This window comes from Homo sapiens, chromosome 3 (assembly GCF_000001405.40).
Source record: "Homo sapiens chromosome 3, GRCh38.p14 Primary Assembly".
Classification (NCBI taxonomy): Eukaryota; Metazoa; Chordata; class Mammalia; order Primates; family Hominidae; genus Homo; species Homo sapiens.
Window position 1 is genome coordinate 41,938,961 of NC_000003.12, and position 22,188 is coordinate 41,961,148.

The following is a 22,188-nucleotide window of genomic DNA, read 5'->3' on the forward strand; positions in this document are numbered from 1 at the left end:
ATAACACAATAGGTCACTAAGTTGTATTATCAACTGACAAAATATCGTCAACATTAAAATGTATACTTAATTTTACAACATAGAGGAACGAGTGTTATGTTAATTGAAAAGGGCAAGAAACAAACTTATACCACGACTAAACCATTAAAGAACAAACTCAAAAACTAGAAGGAAACAAAGCAAGACATGAGCAATGATTACCCTTTTTTTTTTTTTTTGAGGAGGAGTCTCGCTCTGTCACCCAGGCTGGAGTACAGTGGTGCAATCTCGGCTCACTGCACCCTCTGCCTCCCAGGTTCAAGCAATTCCCTGCCTCAGCCTCCCAAGTAGCTGGGATTACAGGTACACACCACCACACCCAGCTAATTTTTGTATTTTTAGTAGAGATGGGGTTTCATCATGTTGGCCAGGCTGGTCTTGAACTCCTGACCTCAAGTGATCCACCCGCCTTGGCCTCCCAAAGTGCTGGGAATACAGGCATGAGCCACTGTGCCTGGTCAAGCAATGATTATCTGTAGGTGATAGGACAATTATCCTTTTTTTCTTCTATTCATTTTTCCCTATTGTCCAAGTTTCTACAGTGAACTTGTATTATTTTTATATTTAAAAGAACTCTCAGAAGGATTCTACAATCTACTTTTAAAAATATTCCTGGTCACTGGCAGTGGCTCATGCCTGTAATCCCAACACTTTAGGAGGCCAAGGCAGGAGGACCACTTGAGCCAGGGGGGTCCCCAACTCCTGGGCCATGGACCAGTCCAGGTCCATGGCCTGTTCGGAACCAGGCCAGACAGCAGCAGGTGAGCAGTCAGCAAGCAAGCATTACCGCTTGAGCTCGCCTCCTGTCAGATCAGCAGTGGCATTAGATTCTCACAGAAGCACAAACCCTATTGTGAACTGTGCATAGGAGGGATCTAGGCTGCGCACTCCTTATGAGAATCTAATGCCTGATGATCTGAGGTGGAACATTTCATCCCGAAACCATCCCCACCCCATGGAAAAACTGTCTTCCACAAAACCAGTCCCTGGTGTCAAAACAAGTTGGGTACCGGTGCCATAGTTTTTGTTGTTTTTTTTTTTAATAAACATAGAAATTGACACTTCTAGTCTTAAAGCTTGAAACTTACACCTGTTTTATTTGAGCTCCTTCCTCAGGAAAGGACCCCCAAGCCTCTCAAAAAGTATCAAAGATCTGAACCTCACCAGATCACCACATCCAGACACGAAGCGCCAGGCCCCTCATTCATCATGACTGCTTCCTTTCACCTCCAGAGGTCTGTTTTCCCACACATTGCTACGTTTCTTTCCTGTTATATGAACCCCTAATTTTAGTCAGTCAGGGAGATTGGATTTGAGACTGAGCTCCCACCTCCTTGGCTGCAGCACCTGATTAAAGCCTTCTTCCCTGGCAATACGTGTCACCTCAGTGATTGGTTTTCTGAGTGGAAAACAGCAGGACCTGGACCAAACCTCTGGTGTTTCAGTAACAGTTTTAACACAAGCCTGGACAATATAGTAAGACCTCATCTTCACTAAAAAAAAAAATTTTTAATTAGCCAGGCATGGTGATGCATACCTGGGATGCTACTCAGGACACTGAGGCAGGAGGATAGCTGGAGCCCAGGAGTTCAAGGCTGCAGTGAACTGTGTTGCACCACTGCACTCCAGCCTGGGCAAGACAGCAAGACCCCACCTCCAAAAAAAATAAAAATAGAAACATTCTTACTTATTTTCTATTCAATAAATATAAAAAATAAAATAAAGATACCCTCAGTGAATCCTAATGTCATCAATTCACCCTATTGCAAAAGGAATCTTTACAATAAACACATTGATCTTAAAAATGTACATTTCTGTTATGGATCATAAGAATACTTGTGCATAAAAAACAAATGATAAAGATGCAAAAGCCTATCTGTTAAAAAATACTAAGTTGTTTCGGAGGTTTTGCTTTCGCCTTTTAAAATTCCACTAAATATGAAAAATAAGACCACAAAAATGTGTGCATTACTAGCAAACCATCAAGATCCAAAATTGCTGACAACTACCAAAGTGCTTTCAATCCTGTTCTTAACCTTTTTTTTTTTTTTTTGAAACAAGGTCTCACTCTATACCCAGGCTGGAGCACAGTGGCACAGTCATGGCTCACTGCAGCCTTCATCTACTGGGCTCAAGGGATCCTCCTCCTCTCTCAGCCTCCAGAGTAGTGGGGACCACAGGCTTGCACCACTACATTCGGCTGACTTTTTTGATTTTTTGTAGAGACAAGGTCTCACTTTGTTGCCCAAGTTGGTCTTGAACTCCTGGGTTCAAACGATCCTCCCACCTCAGCCTCCCAAAGTGCTGGGATTACAGGCATGAGTCACTGTGCCCAGCTTGAAAAAAAAAAAAAAAACCTTTTTTTTTAAAGTCACATCCAAACTCTACTACCACTTAACACAAACAAATGAGCCCATATATGCAGAGCTCCCCATTTTAAAAATGAAACACTCTGTGAACAACTAGGTGGGCTCATACCGTAGCACAATTAGAGGAAAATGGATCCACATAACTTAGACGACAGAGGAGTTAAAAAGCAAAAAGCAGAGCGACCAAGAGAAAATTTAAGGAGCAACTTGTAAGAAACTACAAAACTAAAATTAAAAAATTAGCCAGGCATGGTGGCACATGCCTGTGGTCCCAGCTACTAGGGAGGCTGCGGCAGGAGGATCCATTGAGCCCGGGAAGTCAAGGCACAGTGAGCCGTGATCACATCACTGCACTCCAGCCTGAGTGACAGAGTGAGACTCTGTCTCAAAAAAAAAAAAAAAAAAAAAAAAGAGAAAGAAACTGTAAAACTAATAAGCCACCAAAGAATAAGGAAGACCACCTGGTGACCATGTTTAAGGACTCCCACTGATTCAGGCACAGGAAGGGGGAGGTCCTGATGAAAAATAAAGGGAGCATGGCAATTCCAACAGAATCACCAACAGAATCTGGGCCCCAGCAATTCCTTCCAGCACTCCTCATCATTCAACATACGCCCCACGCCTACTCTTCCAAATGCTGGGCCAAACTGCCTCTCAAAGTCCTGCCCTCCACCTTCACCTCAACCACCTATCCACGGTTACTCCACAGACCTGCGGTGTTCAATGTGGGAGCGATGTGCCACACAGGGCTACTGAGAACTCGAAAAGTGGCTTGTCTGAACTGGGATGTGCTACAGATGTGAAATACACACAGTATTCTGAAGACTTCATACCAAAAAATAATAATATCTCAATAATAGTTTTTACCAGCCAGGTGCAGTGGCTAACACCTGTAAACCCAACACTTTGGGAGGCCAAGGTGGGCGTATGACTTGAGGTCAGAAGTTTAAGACCAGCCTGGCCAACATGATGAAACCCTATCTCTATAAAAAATACAAAAATTAGGCAGGCATGGTGGTGCATGCCTGAAATTCCAGGAACTCAGGGGTCTGAGGCAGCAGAATCACTTGAACCCAGAAGGCAGAGGTTGCAGTGAGCCTAGATCACGCCATTGCACTCCAGCCTGGGTGGCAGATTAAGACTTCATCTCAAAAAAATAAATAAATAGGCCGGGCGCGGTGGCTCACGCCTGTAATGCCAGCACTTTGGGAGGCCAAGGCAGGTGGATCACCTGAGGTCAGGAGTTCAAAACCAGCCTGACCAACATGGAGAAACCCCATCTCTACTAAAACTACAAAATTAGCTGGGCATGGAGGCGCATGCCTGTAACCCCAGCTACTCAGGAGGCTGAGGCAGGAGAATCGCTTGAACCCGGGAGGTGAGGCTGCAGTGAGCCAAGATGGTGCCATTGCACTCCAGTCTGGGCAACAAGAGTGAAACTCCATCTCAAAAAATAAATTAATTAATTTCATTAAATTAAATAAATAAATAGTTTTAACCAATTATATGTTGAAGTGATCATACATTGTGTATACTGGCTTTAGAAATATATTACCAAAGTTAGGCTGGGCACGGTGGCTCAGGCCTGTAATCCCAGCACTTTGGGAGGCCGAGGCGGGTGGATCACGAGGTAAGGAGATCAAGACCATCCTGGCTAATATGGTGAAACCCCATCTCTACTAAAAATACAAAAAATTAGCCGGGCATGGTGGTGGGCACCTGTAGTCCCAGCTACTCGGGAGGCTGAGGCAGCAGAATGGCGTGAACCCGGCAGGCGGAGCTTGCAGTGAGCCAAGATCGTGCCACCGCACTCCAGCCTGGGCGACAGAGCGAGACTCCATCTCAAAAAAAAAAAAAAAAGAAAGAAATATATTACCAAAGTTAATTTCACCCATTTGTTTTTCATTTTTCAATGTGGCTACTAAAAAATTCAAAATTAGATTTGTGGCCCCCATTATATTTTTATTAGATGGTGTTGCTAGACTTTTACTAAAACTGCATTACCACCAAAATCTCTGTTACACATCCTAGCCTGTGACCATATACACGCACTTTCCAGCCCGCTCCCACAACCATTCCAATTCTGGTTAAACTCAACCAACCCTCCACATACTCTGCAGCTACTCAAGCAGGTAAAGCAGAAACAAACCATGCTGCCTGATTTACTTTAAATTTATGATCACAAATCTCAAATGGCCCAAGACAACCTGCTTTTCAAGTGACCATTCACACCTCCTCTTTCCTCTCCTCTCCTACCTCCTAACTGATGACTTTGCTTATTTCAGGGAAGATAGAACCAAACAGAAGAGAACTTTCTCAGGCTCCTGGCATGGAATCCACCAACTTGCATCTTGTACCATACCCTGCCTTACCTCAACTATCCATGCTCCTTCCAAAAGCCAAAACCTCCCCTTGTATACATGATCCCAACCCCCCTCAAACTTCACTTACATTATACAACTGTCTCCTCGCCACATTATGCTGAGTATTTTTCCCTTGCTAATAGACCATTTCCATCAGCATACAAACATGCTGAAATTATTATCCTTATGGAAAAGCTGCTAGCTGCTTACCTAAATCTTTAATAACAGAATTCCTCTATGACAGAACAGCCTTGTGCCTGTCCAGAAAAAGATTTCCGCCCCTCCTGCCCAGAAAGGGGACACCAACAAGATGTTAACAGGGTCAGTAGCTCAGGTTTCCTGGAAAACACTTAATGGGGTTTATTCAACGTAACCCCGTGGCACCCTCTTTCTTCCCCTTCCTCCCTGGAAAGCTGACATGATAACTAAAGTGACAGTGGCCATCCAGCAACTGTGAAATGGCCTTGCACATAAGCCAAGTTCAATAAGGATAGCAGAGAAGAATGACAGGGAATTGATGACATGGTAGAATCAGTTTGCAAGTGCAGTTTCCTTTACATGAGAGAAAATAAACCACCTGCTTTAAGACGTGTAATTTCACGGGAGGATGAGGCAGGAGAATTGCCTGAATCCAAGAGGTGGAGGTTGCAGTGAGCTGAAATCATGCCACTGTACTCCAGTCTGGGCTACAGAGTGAGATCCTGTCTAAAAAAACGTAATTTCAGATGTCAGGAGTCAGAAGTAACTCCTGATAATTCTTTCCATCTCAACCTCCTGTCTCCATCCAGTTATCATCCCATTTCTCTGCTCCTTGATACAGCAAAACTCCTTAAGGATGGCCTCTACCTTCTCCCACTCCCTCTTTTTATAAGAAGTGTACTTATTTATTTTTGTAGAGATAGGGTCTTGCTATGTTGCCCAGGCTGGTTTCAAACTCCTGGCCTCAAGCAATCCTCCCACCTCAGCCTCCCAAAACACCAGGATTACAGGAATGAGCCAGTAAGCCCGGCTCACTCCCCCTTAAACATATTTCAGTTCCAGCTTTCATCCCCACCACTTTCTGAAACCACTCTCTTCAAGGTTATCAGTGGCCTCTCCATTGCCAAATCCTCAGTCCTCACCTTATTAGCAGCATCTCACACAAGTGGTTTCTCTCATCACCATATACCACTGACGTTATTTGACCTCTATGACATCCCATGATTTGGCCAATATTTTTAGTTACAGAGAACAGAATATATTCTGGCTAACAAAAGGACTTCTAAGGGGCCTACATAATTCCAGAATTGATTATGGGAAGTTCCTGAAACAGAATCTAGGCTCAATTTCTGGAAAGAATTCCCAAAACCACACCATAAAACTGAGCCGCCAGAGGAGCACTGGCCCCTGTCTCCATCAGAACATTAAGGAATCAAGACTCTGCCATCACAGCTATCACAGCTGTCAGCACCAAAGTGCTGCCTCTGCCACCAGTAGGAAGCCACCACATCCAAACCATACTGCCTCTGCCTCAAGATGTGCCGGCAAATGGATGGATGCCTTGGGGCCTTTACCACTTACATCAGTTTGGAATCCAAATGTCCTTCTAGTGCATCTAATTAATTTAATCACAATCCCACCTAGAACTCTGGCTGCAAAGAGTCTGGGAATTGCAGTTTGTAGCTCCCCAGAGCCTGAGGAACAGGAGAACATGCCAGAATGGGTGATAAGCAAACCAATTCACAGTTACCCACACTCTCCAGCTCCCCTCTCTCACTGGATGCTCCCTTTCACTCTCCTTTGCTGGGTCCTCCTTCTCCTTACACTTGCTAAATGTTGCAATGAAGGTCCTCAGTCCTCTTCTATCTTCCCTCACGTTGGCCTAATGTCTATATGCTGATGACATATGAATTTGACATATAAAGATACACAGCATTTCCATCCCTCCAGAAAGCACTTTGTGCCCATTTCCAGATGTCTTCCTTAAATTTACATCTCCACCCTGATGAACTGCCTAAACTGCAGACTCAAAGACCCAGTGTCTTCCAGTGGGCACCCAAAATTAAAATGCCCGAATCCATTCTTTTCCTAGTCTTTTTTCCCTCAGTGTTATCACCATCCTTCTTAGTCATGTAGGCCAAAACCCTAGGATAATCATTGACTTCTCTTTCACACCTCATACCCAATCCATGACCAAAAACGATCATCTGTACTTTAAATATGTATTCAGACTCTTCATTCATAGAAAGTCAAAACTAGCAAAATTAATCTGTGGAGTTAGAAGTCAAGATCATGATTACCCTTGAGTGGGAAGAAAGAGACGGGCAGGGGGCGGGAAGGGCATCTAAACTACTGCTCATGTTATTTCTTGATTGTGTGCTGGTTACATGGGTGTATTTATTTTATGAAAATTTAAGCATACAATTATGGTTTGTATACTCTCCCGTATGTATATTTTACTTCAATAAAAAGATTCACTCAAAATGGAATGCATTTTAGTAATAAAGGAATAACTACAATACTTGCAATAACACAGGTGAATCTCAAAAACATCTTAAGGAAAAGAAGTGTGACACAAAAAAGTACATACCATAGGAACCCATTTACTTGAGGTTCAAGAACAGGCAAAATAATCTACAATGATAGAAGTAAGAACAGTGCTGGGGGCAGTGTTGAAGATGACATCTGGAGAGGGCAGGAGGCACTTTCTGGAGGAATAGACAGACTGTTTCTTGATTTGGATATTACATGACTGCATACGTTTGTTAAAAGTCATTGAACTACACACTACACTACTCGGGTGTGCCTTAAGACCCCAAAGATCCCCTAATCACACTAACACCTGCACTAAATATTCCTTATTCTCTTGGAATCCAGTACATTTCCCAATAGTACTTGTTCTACTTGGAAAGGCATCAGTTTACCAACGTAGTGAAATTTTCCCTGGGGTTGTGCTATCCACCCTTATATCCAGCATTTGTAGTGTGTGTCACAAGTTGTATTCTCATGGTGAGATAGTTTCTCTGTTGTGATCAGGTTTCCATGTTGCGGTCAAAGGGCCAAGAGATTTAATTGGGTTAAGTTTTACAGGAGAGGGTGGCATTTGTTCTGGATCCTGATAAGCCTAAAAAGTATCACAAAGCTTCTTGTCTGAAAATTTCTCCCACAGTGGCCCTACTGTGGTCTTTGAAAAATCTCTATTAGTCACCCCCCTGAATTAAGCCTTTGACGGACTCCAAAATGCTATCAAAATATGATCACAGAAGGGGATGATACTTCAAGGAAAATGAATTTGTTACATTATCCAGCAGTGTCCTAAAATGAAGGAACAAGAGGGCTGGGCGCAGTGGCTCATGCCTGTAATCCCAGCACTTTGGGAGGCCGAGGCGGGAGGATCACAAGGTCGGGAGATCGAGACCATCCTGGCTAAAACGGTGAAACCCCGTCTCTACTAAAAATACAAAAAATTAGCCGGGCATAGTCCCAGCTACTCGGGAGGCTCAGGCAGGAGAATGGCGTGAACCCAGGAGACGGAGCTTGCGGTGAGCCGAGACTGTGCCACTGCACTCCAGCCCGGGCGACAGAGCGAGACAGGTAAATTATGACACCTGAAAGTGTGGTTATGAAAAGGTCAAAAGCAAGGGAAAGTACTGAGGAGGACTGTCAACGCGACAGCTGAGAACAGCCAGTGGGGAGCATGATGGTAAATGCTATATGGAGAAGAGGAGAAAAAAGGCCATGAAGTCAAACTCTTCCTTACATGTAATTATTTTCTCGGCTTACCCTGCTGGCCTCCTCAACTGGAGAGGGGGCATTGGTACCATGATCCAACAGATCTGAACCAACTATAGATCAGGATGATACTGACATCATAGGCAATTGTGAGAAGTGAATGCACCCAGCACACTGGCTGGAACATATTAGATATACTCAATAAATGGTAGCATATGATGAACTTCTGCAAAGGAAAAGAGTAGAAATGCTTCTGCAAGGTATGGGACACAGGAGTTTCCAAGAGCTAAGACCCCTAAAAAGCAGGGACTTGGACAACCATTTGAATGGAGTGTTTATACATGCCTTGATTCCTCTATCTCACCTTTCTTACCAGATCATAAGCTCAAAAGTACAGGATCATTTCGCCCTCTAACACAGCAGACACTCAACAATACGCTTTTGGTGTTGAAGTGAGTGAATGAATCTTGGAAAAAAGAGAGGCTTCCCCAGGCTCTATAAATCAGGAATAAGGCAAACAGAAAACAGTGGCCTTTCTATATCCATTAAAACTCTTGCACATGCTGAACCTGCCCTCATCCTTCTTTCCCACACGTGACCGACCCCACATCCCTCTTCTCAACTCTCTTCCAGTTCTGGGTATTTCCCTCTCCATCTATGTGTTCTCTATGTATTTCTTGTTCCATTAGTGACTGTGACGTAAGAGACATCATGAAAGAATATTTAAGCCAGGCGCAGTGGCTCATACCTGTAATCCCGGCATTTCGGGAGGTCGAGGTGGGCGGATCACTTGAGGTCAGGAGTTTGAGGGCAGCCTGGCCAACATGGTGAAACCCCATCTCTACTAAAAATACAAAGATTCACTGGGCATGGTAATGTGCACCTGTAATCCCAGCAACTCAGGAGGCTGGGGCAGGAGAATCGCTTGAACAGGGGAGGCAGAGGTTGCAGTGAGCCAAGATCGCACCACTGCACTCCAGCCTGGACGAAAGAGTCTGGACTCTGTCTCAAAAAAAAGAAAGAGTGTTTATTAAGTGTCAGGCACTATGCTAAATATCTTATTATCTTAGTAAAAGCTAGATATGTCAACAAAATGCAAGCAAATTGAATTCAGCAGTATATTAAAAGGATTATGCACGATAACCAAGTGGGTTTATTCCTGGAAAACAAAAGATGGTTGAACATACGAAAATGTAATATACCACATTATGAAGGGGAAAAAAACGCATGATCATCTCAATTAATACAGAAAATGCACTTGGCAAAATTCAACAACCTTTAAAAAAAAAAAAAAAACTCCAAAAGCTAGGAATAGAAGGAAACTATCTCAACATAATAAAAGTCATATATGAAAAACCCAAAGCAAACAACATACTCAATGGTGAAAGAGTAAAGCTTTTCCTCTAACATTAAGAAGTAGGCAAGAATGTCTGCTTTCTCCACTTCTAGTCAAGAAGGTATAAAAAGTCCTAGCCAGAGCAATTACACAAGAAAAAAAAAGGCATCCAAATTGGAAAGGAAAAAAGTAAAATTAACTCTGTTTGCAAATGATGTGATTGATTTTATATGTAGAAAACCCTAAGGCCAGGCGTGGTGGTTCAGGCCCGTAATCCCAGCACTTTTGGAGGCCAAGGTGGGCAAATCACCTGAGGTCAGGAGTTCGAGACCAGCCTGGCCAACATGGTGAAACCCCGTCTCTACTAAAAATACAAAAAAATTAGCCAGGCGTGGTGGCAGGCACCTGAAATCGCAGCTACTCGGGAGGCTGAGGCAGGAGAATCGTTTGAACCTGGGAGGCAAAGGTTGCAGTGTGCCAAGATCACACCACTGAACTCCTGCCTGGATAGACTTTGAGACTCTGTCACACACACAGACACACACACACACACACACAAAAAGTAAAGTTTCCATAAAATAAACTGTCAAAACAAAAACAAATTTTGCAAAGTAAAATACAAAGTCCAGGTCCAACACTTAAAGATTAGCGGAATTTTTTTTTTTTTTTTTGAGACAGCATTTCACTCTTGTTGCCCAGGCTGGAGCGCAATTACACGATCTCAGCTCACTGCAACCTCTGCCTTCCAGGTTCATGCGATTCTCCTGCCTCAGCCTCCCAAGTAGCTGGGATTACAGATGCCCACCACCACACCTGGCTAATTTTTATATTTTTAGTAGAGACAGGGTTTCACCATGTTGGCCAGGCTGGTCTCGAACTCCTGACCTCAAGTGATCTGCCCCCTCCTCGGCCACTCAAAGTGCTGGGATTACAAGTGTGAGCCACCACACCTGCCTTTTTTTTTTTCTTTCTTTTTTTTTGAGACAGTGTCTCTGTCGCCCAGGCGGGAGTGCAGTGGCATGATCGCGGCTCACTGCAACCTCGACCTCCAGGGCTGAAGCAATCCTCCTGTCTCAACCTCCCAAGTAGCTGAGAGTAAAGCACACACCACTATGCCTGGCTAATTTTTCTATTTTTTCTAGAGACAAGGTTTCACCATGTTGCCCAGGCTGGTCCTGAACTTCTGGGCTCAAGTGATCTACCCACCTTGGTCTCTCAAAGTGCTGGGATTATAGGCATGAGCCACCACACCTGGCACGGTCTGATGAGTTTTGATTGATGCAGGTACTGGCAAAACTCTATTTTTATTTTTCTTTTTTTTTTTTTGAGACAAGGTCTCAGTCTGTCACTCAGGTTGGAGCACAGTGGCACAATCATGGCTCACTGCGACCCCTGCCATCCAGGCTCAAACAATCCTCCCACCTCACCTTCCCAAGCAGCTGGGACCTCAGGTGCATGCCACCACCCCCGGCTAATTTTTGAGACGGAGTCTCGCCTTGTTGCCCAGGCTGGAGTGCAGTGGTGCAATCTTGGCTCACTGCAACCTCCACCTCCTGAGTTCAAGTGATTCTCCTGCCTCAGCCTCCCAAGTAGCTGTGACTACAGGCATGTGCCACCATGCCCGGCTGATTTTTTTGTATTTTTAGTAGAGACAGGGTTTCACCGTGTTGGACAGGCTGGTCTTGAACTCCAGGCCTCAAGTGATCCGCCCACCTCAGCCTCCAAAAGTACTGGGATTACAGACATGAGCCACCGCGCCTGGCCCACTCCCAGCTAATTTTTGTATCTTTTGCAGGGACACATTTTCACCATGTTGCCCAGGCTGGTCTCAAACTCCTGAGCTCAAGCAATTCGCCTGCCTCGGTCTCTCCAAGTGCTGGGATTACAGGTGTGAGCCACAATGTCCAGGGGGAATTTCTATACATTAACAAATGTACAATCGAAAAAGGAAATCAAGAAAACAACTTCATTTATAATAGCAGCAAAAAGAATAAAACACATAGGAATTAACCAAACAGGTGGAAAGACTTACACAACAAAAACTACAAAAAACTTCTGAAAGAAATTTTTAAAAGACATAAATAGGCTGGGCACGGTGGCTCACACCTGTAATCCCAGCACTTTGGGAGGCCGAAGCGGGCAGATCACGAGGTCAGGAGATGGAGACCATCCTGGCTAACACGGTGAAACCTCATCTCTACTAAAAATACAAAAAATTAGCTGGGCATGGTGGCGGGCGCCTGTAGTCCCAGCTACTCAAGAGGCTGAGGCAGGAGAATGGCGTGAACCCCGGGAGGCGGAGCTTACAGTAAGCCGAGATTGTGTCACTGCACTCCAGCCTGGAGGACAGAGCGAGGCTTCGTCTCAAAAAAAAAAAAAAAAAAAAAAAAGACACAAATAAGTGGGAAAATATCACGTGTTTATGAATTAGAAGGCAATTTTCAGATATTAATAATTAACATTCAAATACTACCCAAAATCAATCTATCCAAAGCAATGTATGCATTCAATGCAATTCTTATCAAAATCCCAACAACTATTTTTGTGGGACTAGAAAAATCTATCCGAAAATTCATATAGAATCTCAAGGTATGTCAAACGGCCAAAACAATCTTAAAAGAAAAAAAAAAAAAAGCTGGAAAACACACACTTCCTGATTCCAAAGCTTACTACAAAGCTACAATAATAAAAACAGTATAGTACTGGCATAAAGATGGAAATATAGACCAACAGTATAGAATAAGGAGCCCAGAAATAAACCCTCACACATATGGTCAAATGACTTCCAATAAGTATTCCAAAACTATTCAATGAGGAAAGGGCAGTCTTTTCAACAAATGGTGCTGAGAAAACTGGATATCCACATGTAAAAGAGAGAAGTTGGACCTTTACTGTTGTGGTCTGAATGTGTCCCTCTAAAATTCACATTGAAACCTAATGTCCACTGTGGTGGTATTAGGAGGTGGAACCTTTAGGAGGCGATTAGGTCATCAGGGCTCTGCCCTCATAAATAAAATTAGTGTCCTTAGAATACAGCCATAAGGGGGCCTGTTTTCCTCTTCTGCCATGTGGGAACACATAAAAGGCACCATCTTTGAGAAACAGAGCAAGCCCTTACAAGACACCAAAACTGCTGGCACCTTAATCCTGGACTTCCCAGCCCCAAGAACTGTGACCAATAAATTTCTGTTATTTATAAGCTATCCAGTCTAAGGTATTTTGTCTTAGCAGCCCAAACAGAGACATTTACGGAACACCACATAGAAAATTTAACTCAAAATGAGTCAAATATCACTGAGGTAAAAATACATAACTATCAGAAGAACAAATAGGACAAAAGCTTCATGACACTGGGCTTGGCAATGATTTTTGGATATTTGCGTAAGACACCAAAGACACAGATAACAAAAAAAAAGACAAATGTGACTCTGCAAAAATTTTAAACTTTAGTACATCAAAAGGCACTATCAACAAAGTGAAAAGGCAACCTATAGAATATGAAAATATATTTGCATATCATATATCTGATAACAGATTAATATCTAGAATATATAGAGAAGTCGTAAAACTCAGCAAGAAAACAACCAACCAGATTAGAGAATGGGCAGAGGACTTACAGAAATGGACAAAAAGAATAGACATTTCTCCAAAGGAGATATACAAATTGTCTATAAGCATATGAAAAGATGCTGCTCAGCATCACTAGTCATTAGGGAAATGCAAATCAAAACAACAATGAGATACCACCTCACACCCATTAGGATGGTTACTGTCAAAAAAAAAGACAAAAAGTACTGATAAGGATGCAGAGAAACCGAACCCTTGTGCACTGATGGTCTGGAATGAGAAGATGGCAGAGCTGCTGAGGAAAACAGTATGGCAAGTCTTAAAATAATTAAAAATAGAATTACCATAGGACCAGCAATTCCACTTCTGAGTATATACACAAAATAAAGCAAGATCTCAAAGAGATATTTGTATCCACATATTCATAGCACCATTGTTCACAATAGTTAAAACACGGAAGCAACTTGTGTCCACTGTTACATAAATAAGCAAAATGCGCTTTATATATGTACAATGAAATATGATTCAGTCTTAAAAAGGAGGAAATTCTAACACATGCTACAACGTGGATAAACCTTGAGGACATTACACTGGGTGAAATAAGCCAGACAAAAAATGCTGTATGATACCATTTATATAGAGTAGTCAAAACCACAGAGACAAAAAGTAGAATGATAGTTGCCAAAAGCTGGAGAAGGAGAAATGAAGAATTACAGTTTAATGGGTACAGAGCTTCAGTTTTACAAGATGAAAACAGTTATGGGGATAGATGGAGGTGATAGCTGCACAGCAATATGAATGTACTTATTATCCCTAAACTGTACAATTAAAAATCACTAAGGTGCAAATTTGTTAAATTGTATTTTACTACTATATACATATATATACACACACATATATATACACATACATATATATACACATATATACATATATACACATATATATATATATATATATTTTTTTTTTTTTTTGAGATGGAGTCCCACTCTTGTCACCCAGGCTGGGGTGCAATGGCATGATCCCGGCTTACTGCAACCTCTGCCTCCCCGGTTCAAGCGGTTCTCCTGCCTCAGCCTCCTGAGTAGCTGGAATTACAGGTGTGCACTACCACGCCCAGCTAATTTTAGTATTTTTAGTAGAGACGGGGTTTCCCCATGTTGGTCAGGCTGGTCTCGAACCCAAAGTGCTGGGATTACAGGTGTGAGCCACCACACCCAGCTTAAAAATATATATATTTTTTAAGCTAGGTATGGTCCAAGAAGCCTACGCTATAAAGTGACACAGCTATTTCAAACCCAAGTCATTATCACCCAGTGTCCTTCCTTGACAGTAAATTGCAGAGGTTGGGGGAACCTGCTTGTTTCCTAAATACACCAAATTCAAAAAGTAAATTATCTAATATAGAATATAGTTTCCAGGCTGGGCTCAGTGGCTCCTGCCTGTAATCCCAACACTTCGGGAGGCTGAGGCAGGCAGACTGCTTGAGCTCAGGAGTTTGAGACCAGCCTGGGCAACATAGCCAAACCCCGACTCCATGAAAAATACAAAAAATTGGCCGGGCGCGGTGGCTCACACCTGTAATCCCAGCACTTTGGGAGGCCAAGGTGGGCGGATCACAAGGTCAGGAGATCGAGACCATCCTGGCTAACACAGTGAAACCCCGTCTTTACTAAAAATACAAAAATTAGCTGGGTGTGGTGTCGGGCACCACTACAGCTACTCGGGAGGCTGAAGCAGGAGAATGGCGTGAACCCGGGAGGCACAGTGCAGTGAAGCTGAGACCGTGCCACTGCACTCTAGCCTGGGCGACAGAGTGAGACTCCGTCTTAAAAAAAAAAAAAAAAAAAGAAAAATACAAAAAATTAGCCAGGCGTGGTGGTATGTGCCTGTAGTCCCAGCTACTCTGGAGACTGAGGTGGGAGGATCATCTGAGCCCAGGAAGTTGAGGCTATAGTGAGCCCAGTGCACTCCAGTCTGGGCAACAGAGAGAGACCCTGTTTCTAAGGGAAAGAAAAAAAAAGAGTATAGTTTCCCCAATTTATACCCACCCCCAAAAAAAAGAAACAAAAAAGAAAATTAAGTTAGTCATTACTTGGATATGTTTATTACTCATTATTCAGGACTGGTGGCACTGAACAGATGAAGGTCATCCATTCCAGACTGAAAATGTGGCATTTGATATATCAAATTCAATGACTACTGTGAAAATGCTACCCCCTTCTACCTATTGTAGCTCTCTCTTTCCCCATGCCAATGGAAATACACTGACTTACCCAGTTGGTTATTTCAGGCCTTTTGCACTTATCAGTACAAAGAATGGCTACAAAATTGATTGTTCCCTTCCGTCGCCCTTTATAGACAACAGTCTTGCTTCCTCTTCCGATCTCCTCATACAGAATAAAGTTTTCCATCTCTGGGCCGACTTCTCACATACAATAGAATAACAGCATCTCTAGCTCCTAAGAAGTAAACAAAAATGACATTGATAAATGCAAGTTAGTTGCATAATTAATTAGCCTAGGATAATTAGCCTAGGATATTATATGTGTAAAAAATCTAGCAAATCGACAAATTCAGAAAATTCACTTACAAATGTTAAATACTAATGCTGATATTTTTGCAGGATGAACGAAACTACGGGGCAAATAAATAAAACTTCACAGCCGGCGCAGTGGCTCACGCCTGTAATCCCAGCACTTTGGGAGGCCGAGGCAGGGGGATCACCTGAGGTCAGGAGTTTGAGACCAGCCTGGCCAACATGGTGAACCCTGTCTCTACTAAAAATACAAAAATTGGCCAGGTGTTGTGATGCGCGCCTGTAATCCCAGCTACGCGGGAGGCTGAGGCAGGGGAATCGCTTGAACCCGGGAGGCGGAGGCTGCAGTGAGCCGAGATCGCACCACTGCACTCCAACCAGGGCGACAAGGAGAGACTCCAACTCAAAAATCAATAAATATTCACAAACCAATATTCAAGTTCCCATCAACAAGATGTTTTAAAAACACAGTGGCTGCCCGTGCCTCTAGGGTGGGTAGATATCCCAGCATTCCGTGCGGTCGGCCCTTCAGCCGCTGCCGCCATTGGAGACCAGCAGCCATGGCTCTGCGCGACCCTGTGGCCGTGGGCCTCGATGAGGGCCACAGAGTTACCAAAAATGGGAGCAAGCCTGGCCCAGCCACCGCCAAAGTGGGCAACTGACCAAGCACACCAAGTTCATGCGGGACATTATTCCAAAGATGTATGGCTTTACTCCCTACGAGCTGGCGCGCCATGGAGTTGCTCAAGGTTTCCAAGGACAAACGGCCCTCAGGTTCATCAAGAAGAGAGTGGGGGACACGTCCGCACCAAGATGAAGAGAGAAGAGCTAAGCAACGCCCTGCCCGCCATGAAGAAAGTGGCCACAAAGAAGGACTGAGGCCCCATACCCTATCCATAAAACCTTCACAGAAAAAAAAAAAAAAAGTGAAAATAACAGCTATTTCGAAAAACGGTAACAAAATCAGGGTATGAATTAGATTTTATCCAATGTGTCTCCATCTTACTTTCTCCGTTACAATGGAAACCTGGTACAAGGGAAAACAACATCTGCACAGTGGGATAATATATGTGAGGCAGGAGAACAGGGTCTGGAGGCAGGGAACCTAAGGCTGTTTCACACTGACTTCCTGTAACTAAATTGAAAGGAAAACCCTAACTTTCCACGCCTAAGTAACAAAAGGACCAGAGGCTATTCCCTTTGCAAATCCCCCACCTTTTCTATGCAGCAGATGACCACAACCAATCAGACTGATTGGGGCGTAGTCTTGGTTTGCAACTTTGTAACTTCACCTTAGCATCTGACTGGTTGCAGAGAATGGAATGAATGAATGAATGAAATGGAATCAATGAAATTGGCTGACTGCAACCAATAGACCGATTGCAGGCCACCACTTGATTTACCGGAGGTGAGCGTGAAGAGGCCAGTGGGAAAGCTCTAGGGGGTATTTGGACCGGGTATCTGTATCCCTGCCCTCCAGTGCTGCTCAGGTGGCTCCCACACTGTGGAGTGTACTTTCGTTTTCAATAAATCCCTGCTTTCATGCTTTTGTTGCTTCATTCTTTCCTTGCTGTGCTGGGCATTTTGTCCAGTTCTTTGCTCAAAATGCCAAGAACCTGGACAACTTGCGGTCAAGACCCTCTACTGGTCTTGACTGGTATGCCCCACCTAAACCTTATAAATTTTGAGAAGCAAAAGAGAAACATATGCCCCACCTAGACCTTATTAATTATGAGAAGTAAAAGAGAAAACAAGTGAAAATACAGTATAAACAAATATGGAATGATATTTCCATGTAATCCCTAGACTGCAGGAGTCAATCCAAGTATCATGAATACTACTGGCTCATAGGCCAAATTGGGTGTGCTGCCTGCTTTTGTAAATAAAGTTTAATTGGAACATAGCCACACCCATTCATTTATATATTGCTTATGGCTGCTTTCAAACTGCTATATATTGCCTATGACAGAGTTGACTCTACAGCCTGCACAAACCCTAAAATATTTACTATTTGTCCCTTTATTTAAAAAAGTTTGCCAACCCCTGCTCTAAATCAAGTGATGTTGTTGTTGTTTTAACCAAGGACTTCATCCTTCACCTAAGGTATAAGTAGTTAAATGAGTTCGTTTTCTTGGCCAACATAACTCTTTAGTTTTCATAAGTAAATAAGGACTTGATGTAAACTCTTATCAGACTACATCTTATTTAGAATTTCAGTTAAAGTGGAATTAGTCATAAACAATATATGACAATTTAATCTAAGTAATTCATTAAAATCATTCTTTCAGGCTGGGTGCAGTGGCTCACACCTGTAATCCCAGCACTTTGGGAGGCCGAGGTGGGCTGATCGCCTGAGGTCAGGAGTTTGAGACCAGCCTGACCAACATGGCAAAATCCTATCTCTACTAAAAATACAAAAATTAGCCAGGCATGGTGGCACACGCTTGTAATCCCAGCTACTCGGGAGGCTGAAGGTAGGAGAATCACTTGAACGCAGGAGGCAGAGGTTGCAGTGAGCTAAGATGGTGCCACTGTACTCCAGCCTGGGAGACAGAGCACCACTCAAAAAAAAAAAAAAAAAATCAATCTTTCATAACCTGGCATCTCTCTGGAAAGATATGTTAGACTATATTAAACTTTCCAGAAATTCACAACATATCTACATATCAAAACAGCACATTGGCCAGGCACGGTTGCTCGCACCTATAATCTCACCCCTTTGGGAGGCCAAGACAAAAGAACTGCTTGAGCCCAGGAGATTGAGGCTGCAGTGAGCTACAACTGCACCATGGTACTCCAGCCTGGACAACAGGGTGAGACCATGTCTCAGAAAAAAAAAAAAAATTAAAAATTAAAAAAGCACATTGGGCTGAACTCAGTAGCTCATGCCTGTAATTCCACCACTTTGGGAGGCCAAGGAGGGAGGTTCAATTGACGCCGGGAGTTTGACACCAACCTGGGAAACATGGCAACACATCATCTCTACAAGATATTTAAAAATTTTTAAAAATTAGCCAGCAGTGGTAGCCTGTGCATGTAGTCCCAGCTACTTGGGAGACTGAGGCAGGAGGATAGCTTGAACCCGGGAGGCAGAGGTTGCAGTGAGCCAAGATCTCACCACTGCACTCTAGCCTGGGCAACGAAGTGAGACCCTTTCTCAAAAAAAAAAAAAAAAAACCTTGTACACCTCAAATACATACAATTACTGGTAGATCATACCTCAATATGGGTATATTAAAGAATTAAAAGCAGGGTCTCAGAGATATTTGTACCCCACATATTCACAGCAGCATTATTCACAATAGTTAAAACATGGAAGCAACTTGTGTCCGCTGATACATGGATAAGCAAAATGTAATATATTTTGCTTTTGCAAAAATGAAGTTTTAGAGACTGGTGCACAACAATGTAACTGTTCTTAAGCTCTACTAAACTTGTACCCTTAAAAAGGGTTAAGATGGTAAATTTTATGTGTATTTTACAATTAAAAATTTTTTAAGACTTCAAAAATTAATAACAAAACTGGTGAATATATTGGCAGATGCGGTGGCTCACGCCTGTAATCCCAGCACTTTGGGAGGTCGAGTCGGACGGATCGCCTGAGGTCACAAGTTCAGGACCAGGCTGGCCAACATGGTGAAACCTCATCTCTACTAAAAATACAAAAAAAAAAAAAAATTATCCAGGAATGGTGGCGCGCACCTGTAATCCCAGCTACTCAAGAAGGTGAGGTAGGCGAATGGCTTGAACCCAGAAGGCAGAGGGAGGTTGCAGTGAACTGAGATTGCACCATTGCACTCCAGCCTGGGTGACAAGAGTGAAACTGTCTCAAAAAAAAAAAAATTAAGGAAACTCATTTTACAGATGAAAAAAAAATCCAAGATTGTTCTAGGAGAGGAAAGCTTTTTTCTACAAAATGTTAGCGGGTAAACATTTTAGATTTTACAGACCTTATGGTTTCTGTCACAGCTACTCACCTTTGCTCTTGAACTACAAAAGCAACCAGAGACAATAAGCAAAGGGATGGATATGGCTGAGTTCCATTAAAACTTTTATTTATGGGCAGGGTGCAATGACTCACGTCTATAATCCCAGCAATTTGGGAGGCCAAGGCAGGTAGGTCACCTGAAGTCAGGAGTTCAAGACCAGCCTGGCCAACATGGCGAAACCCCATCTCTACTAAAAATACAAAAATTAGGCCAGGTGCAGTGGCTTACGCCTGTAATCCCAGCACTTTGGGGGGCCGAGGAGGGTGGATCACCTGAGGTCAGGAGATCAAGACCATCCTGGCTAACACAGTGAAACCCCATCTCTACTAAAAATACAAAAAATTAGCCAGGCATGGTGGCACGCGCCTGTAGTCCCACCTACTCGGGAGGCTGAGGCAGAGAATTGCTTGGACCCGGGAGGCGGAGGCTGCAGTGAGCCAAGATCGCGCCACTGCACTCCAGCCTGAGGAACAGAACAAGATTCCATCTCAAAAAAAAAAAAAATTAGCCAGGCATGGTGGCGGGCGCCTGTAATCCCAGCTATTCCGGAGGCTGAAGCAAGAGAATGGCTTGAACCCAGGAGGCACAGGTTGCAGTGAGCCGATTGCGCCACTGCACTCCAGCCTGGGTGACAAGAGACTCCATATCAAAAAAAATAATAATAATTAATTAATTAAAAACAAAAAGGCACTGGTTAGTATCTTTCTTTTAATGACGGTTTCCCTAAGTCCTTTTTACATCCCTCTTCGTTCTAAAACCCATTCATTAAAAAGAACCAATCCTGGCCTAGCACAGTGCCTCATGTCTGTAATCCCAACGCTTTCGGAGGTGGAGGCAGGATTGTCTGAAGCCAAGAGTTCAAGACCAGCCTGGGCAACATGGTGAGATCCCGACTCTACACAAATAAAATAGCCTGGCATGGTGGTGCATGCCTGTAGTCCCAGCTATATGGTATGTATTATAACCAAAATAAGATTAAACTGACAGTATGTTAAGATGGGAAGTTACTAAGCCAGAAAAAATATAATCAGAAACCTTAAGTGTTCACAAATTGTCTACATTAGGATATCTCAGGATAAGATGATAAAATAAGTTTTCATACAGTATGTATAACTGATTTCTTGAAAATAAGGTTTTAGGCTACAAGGGAAAAAATTAAGTAAAATCTTGATTTTTTTTTTTTTTAAAGGAGGCTAGGTCTTGAACCCCTGGGCTCAAGCAATCCTCCTGCCTCAGCCTCCCAAAATTCTGGAATTACAGGTGCAAGCCACCATCCAGCCCATCTTGAAATTTTGAATTTGATTTAGGCCAAATTCATTTCCTTAATCTTTAGTCACATCTGACCATCAAGTCACATGTGGACAATTTCAGTCTGAAATTAACAAAACACATTAGTTATAAATCTGCTTAGATAGGGTGGTTTGTTACTTTCAAGCATTTCTCCTCTCTAAGGCTGTTTCCTTAGAGTAAAATAAGAATTGGATCAAATGATTTTCTTTTTTTTTTTTGGACAGGGTCTCACTCAGTGGCCCAGGCTGGTGTGCAGGGGCAAGATCTAGGCTCACTGCAACCTCCACCTCCAGGGTTCAAACGATTCTCGTGCCTCAGCCTCCAGAGTAGCCACCTCAGCCTCTGGCACACCACCACACCCAGTTAATTTTTTGTGTTTTTGGTAGATATGGAGTTTCACTATGTTGCCCAGGCTGGTCTAGAACTCCTGGCCTCAAGTGATCCGCCTGCCTCGGCCTTCCAAAGTGCTAGGATTACAGGTGTGAGCCACCGCGCCTGGCACTAAGTTATCTTTCAATAACTTATTAATAGTTGAAATTCCATGACTTTAAGATTCTTTGACTCAGTCCAAACACGTTCCCCATTACAGACTTCCTAATATTCATTTTTAAAGCTGTAACCTCTTAATTATAAAATAAAACACAAGTACAGAAAACTCCACAGAATACATAGTTTAATGAATTACTAAAGAGGGACACCCTTCTAATCACCACCCAAAGTCAGGAAATAGGACTTTGCCAGCCACACAAGCAGCCCCTCTGTGAGCCTGTCTCAATCACCACCCCTCCTGATCCCCAAAAGTTAACCACCCCCTGACTTTCGTAGTCATCACTTCCTTAGGTTTCTTCATGGTTTTCTCACTCGAGTGTGCTTTCCCAGAAACCACAGTTTAGTCTCTTAACCTATAGTGCTCCTAAGGAAGTCTCTCTTAATTCACAAGTTCACCTAAGAAGCATCTAAGAAGCCAGAAGGCAGAGCAAATCAC

At 43.2% G+C, this 22,188-nt stretch overlaps 1 protein-coding gene and 1 pseudogene across 4 annotated transcripts in view; one reads left to right on the plus strand and one right to left on the minus strand.

Annotated features, from left to right (window-relative positions):
• Positions 1 to 22,188, minus strand: part of ULK4 (unc-51 like kinase 4) — a 715,505-nt gene that overhangs the window by 692,362 nt on the left and 955 nt on the right. For all 4 annotated transcript variants that reach the window (NR_136342.2, NM_001322501.2, NM_017886.4 and 1 more), the window contains exon 2: positions 15,662 to 15,847. Coding sequence is in view for 2 of the 4 variants with exons in the window: in NM_017886.4 (NP_060356.2) it covers positions 15,662 to 15,799 (138 nt within the window). In the remaining 2 variants the exon portion in view is untranslated. The remainder of the gene's footprint in view (positions 1 to 15,661; positions 15,848 to 22,188) is intronic.
• On the plus strand, positions 16,485 to 16,800 carry RPL36P20 (ribosomal protein L36 pseudogene 20; annotated as a pseudogene).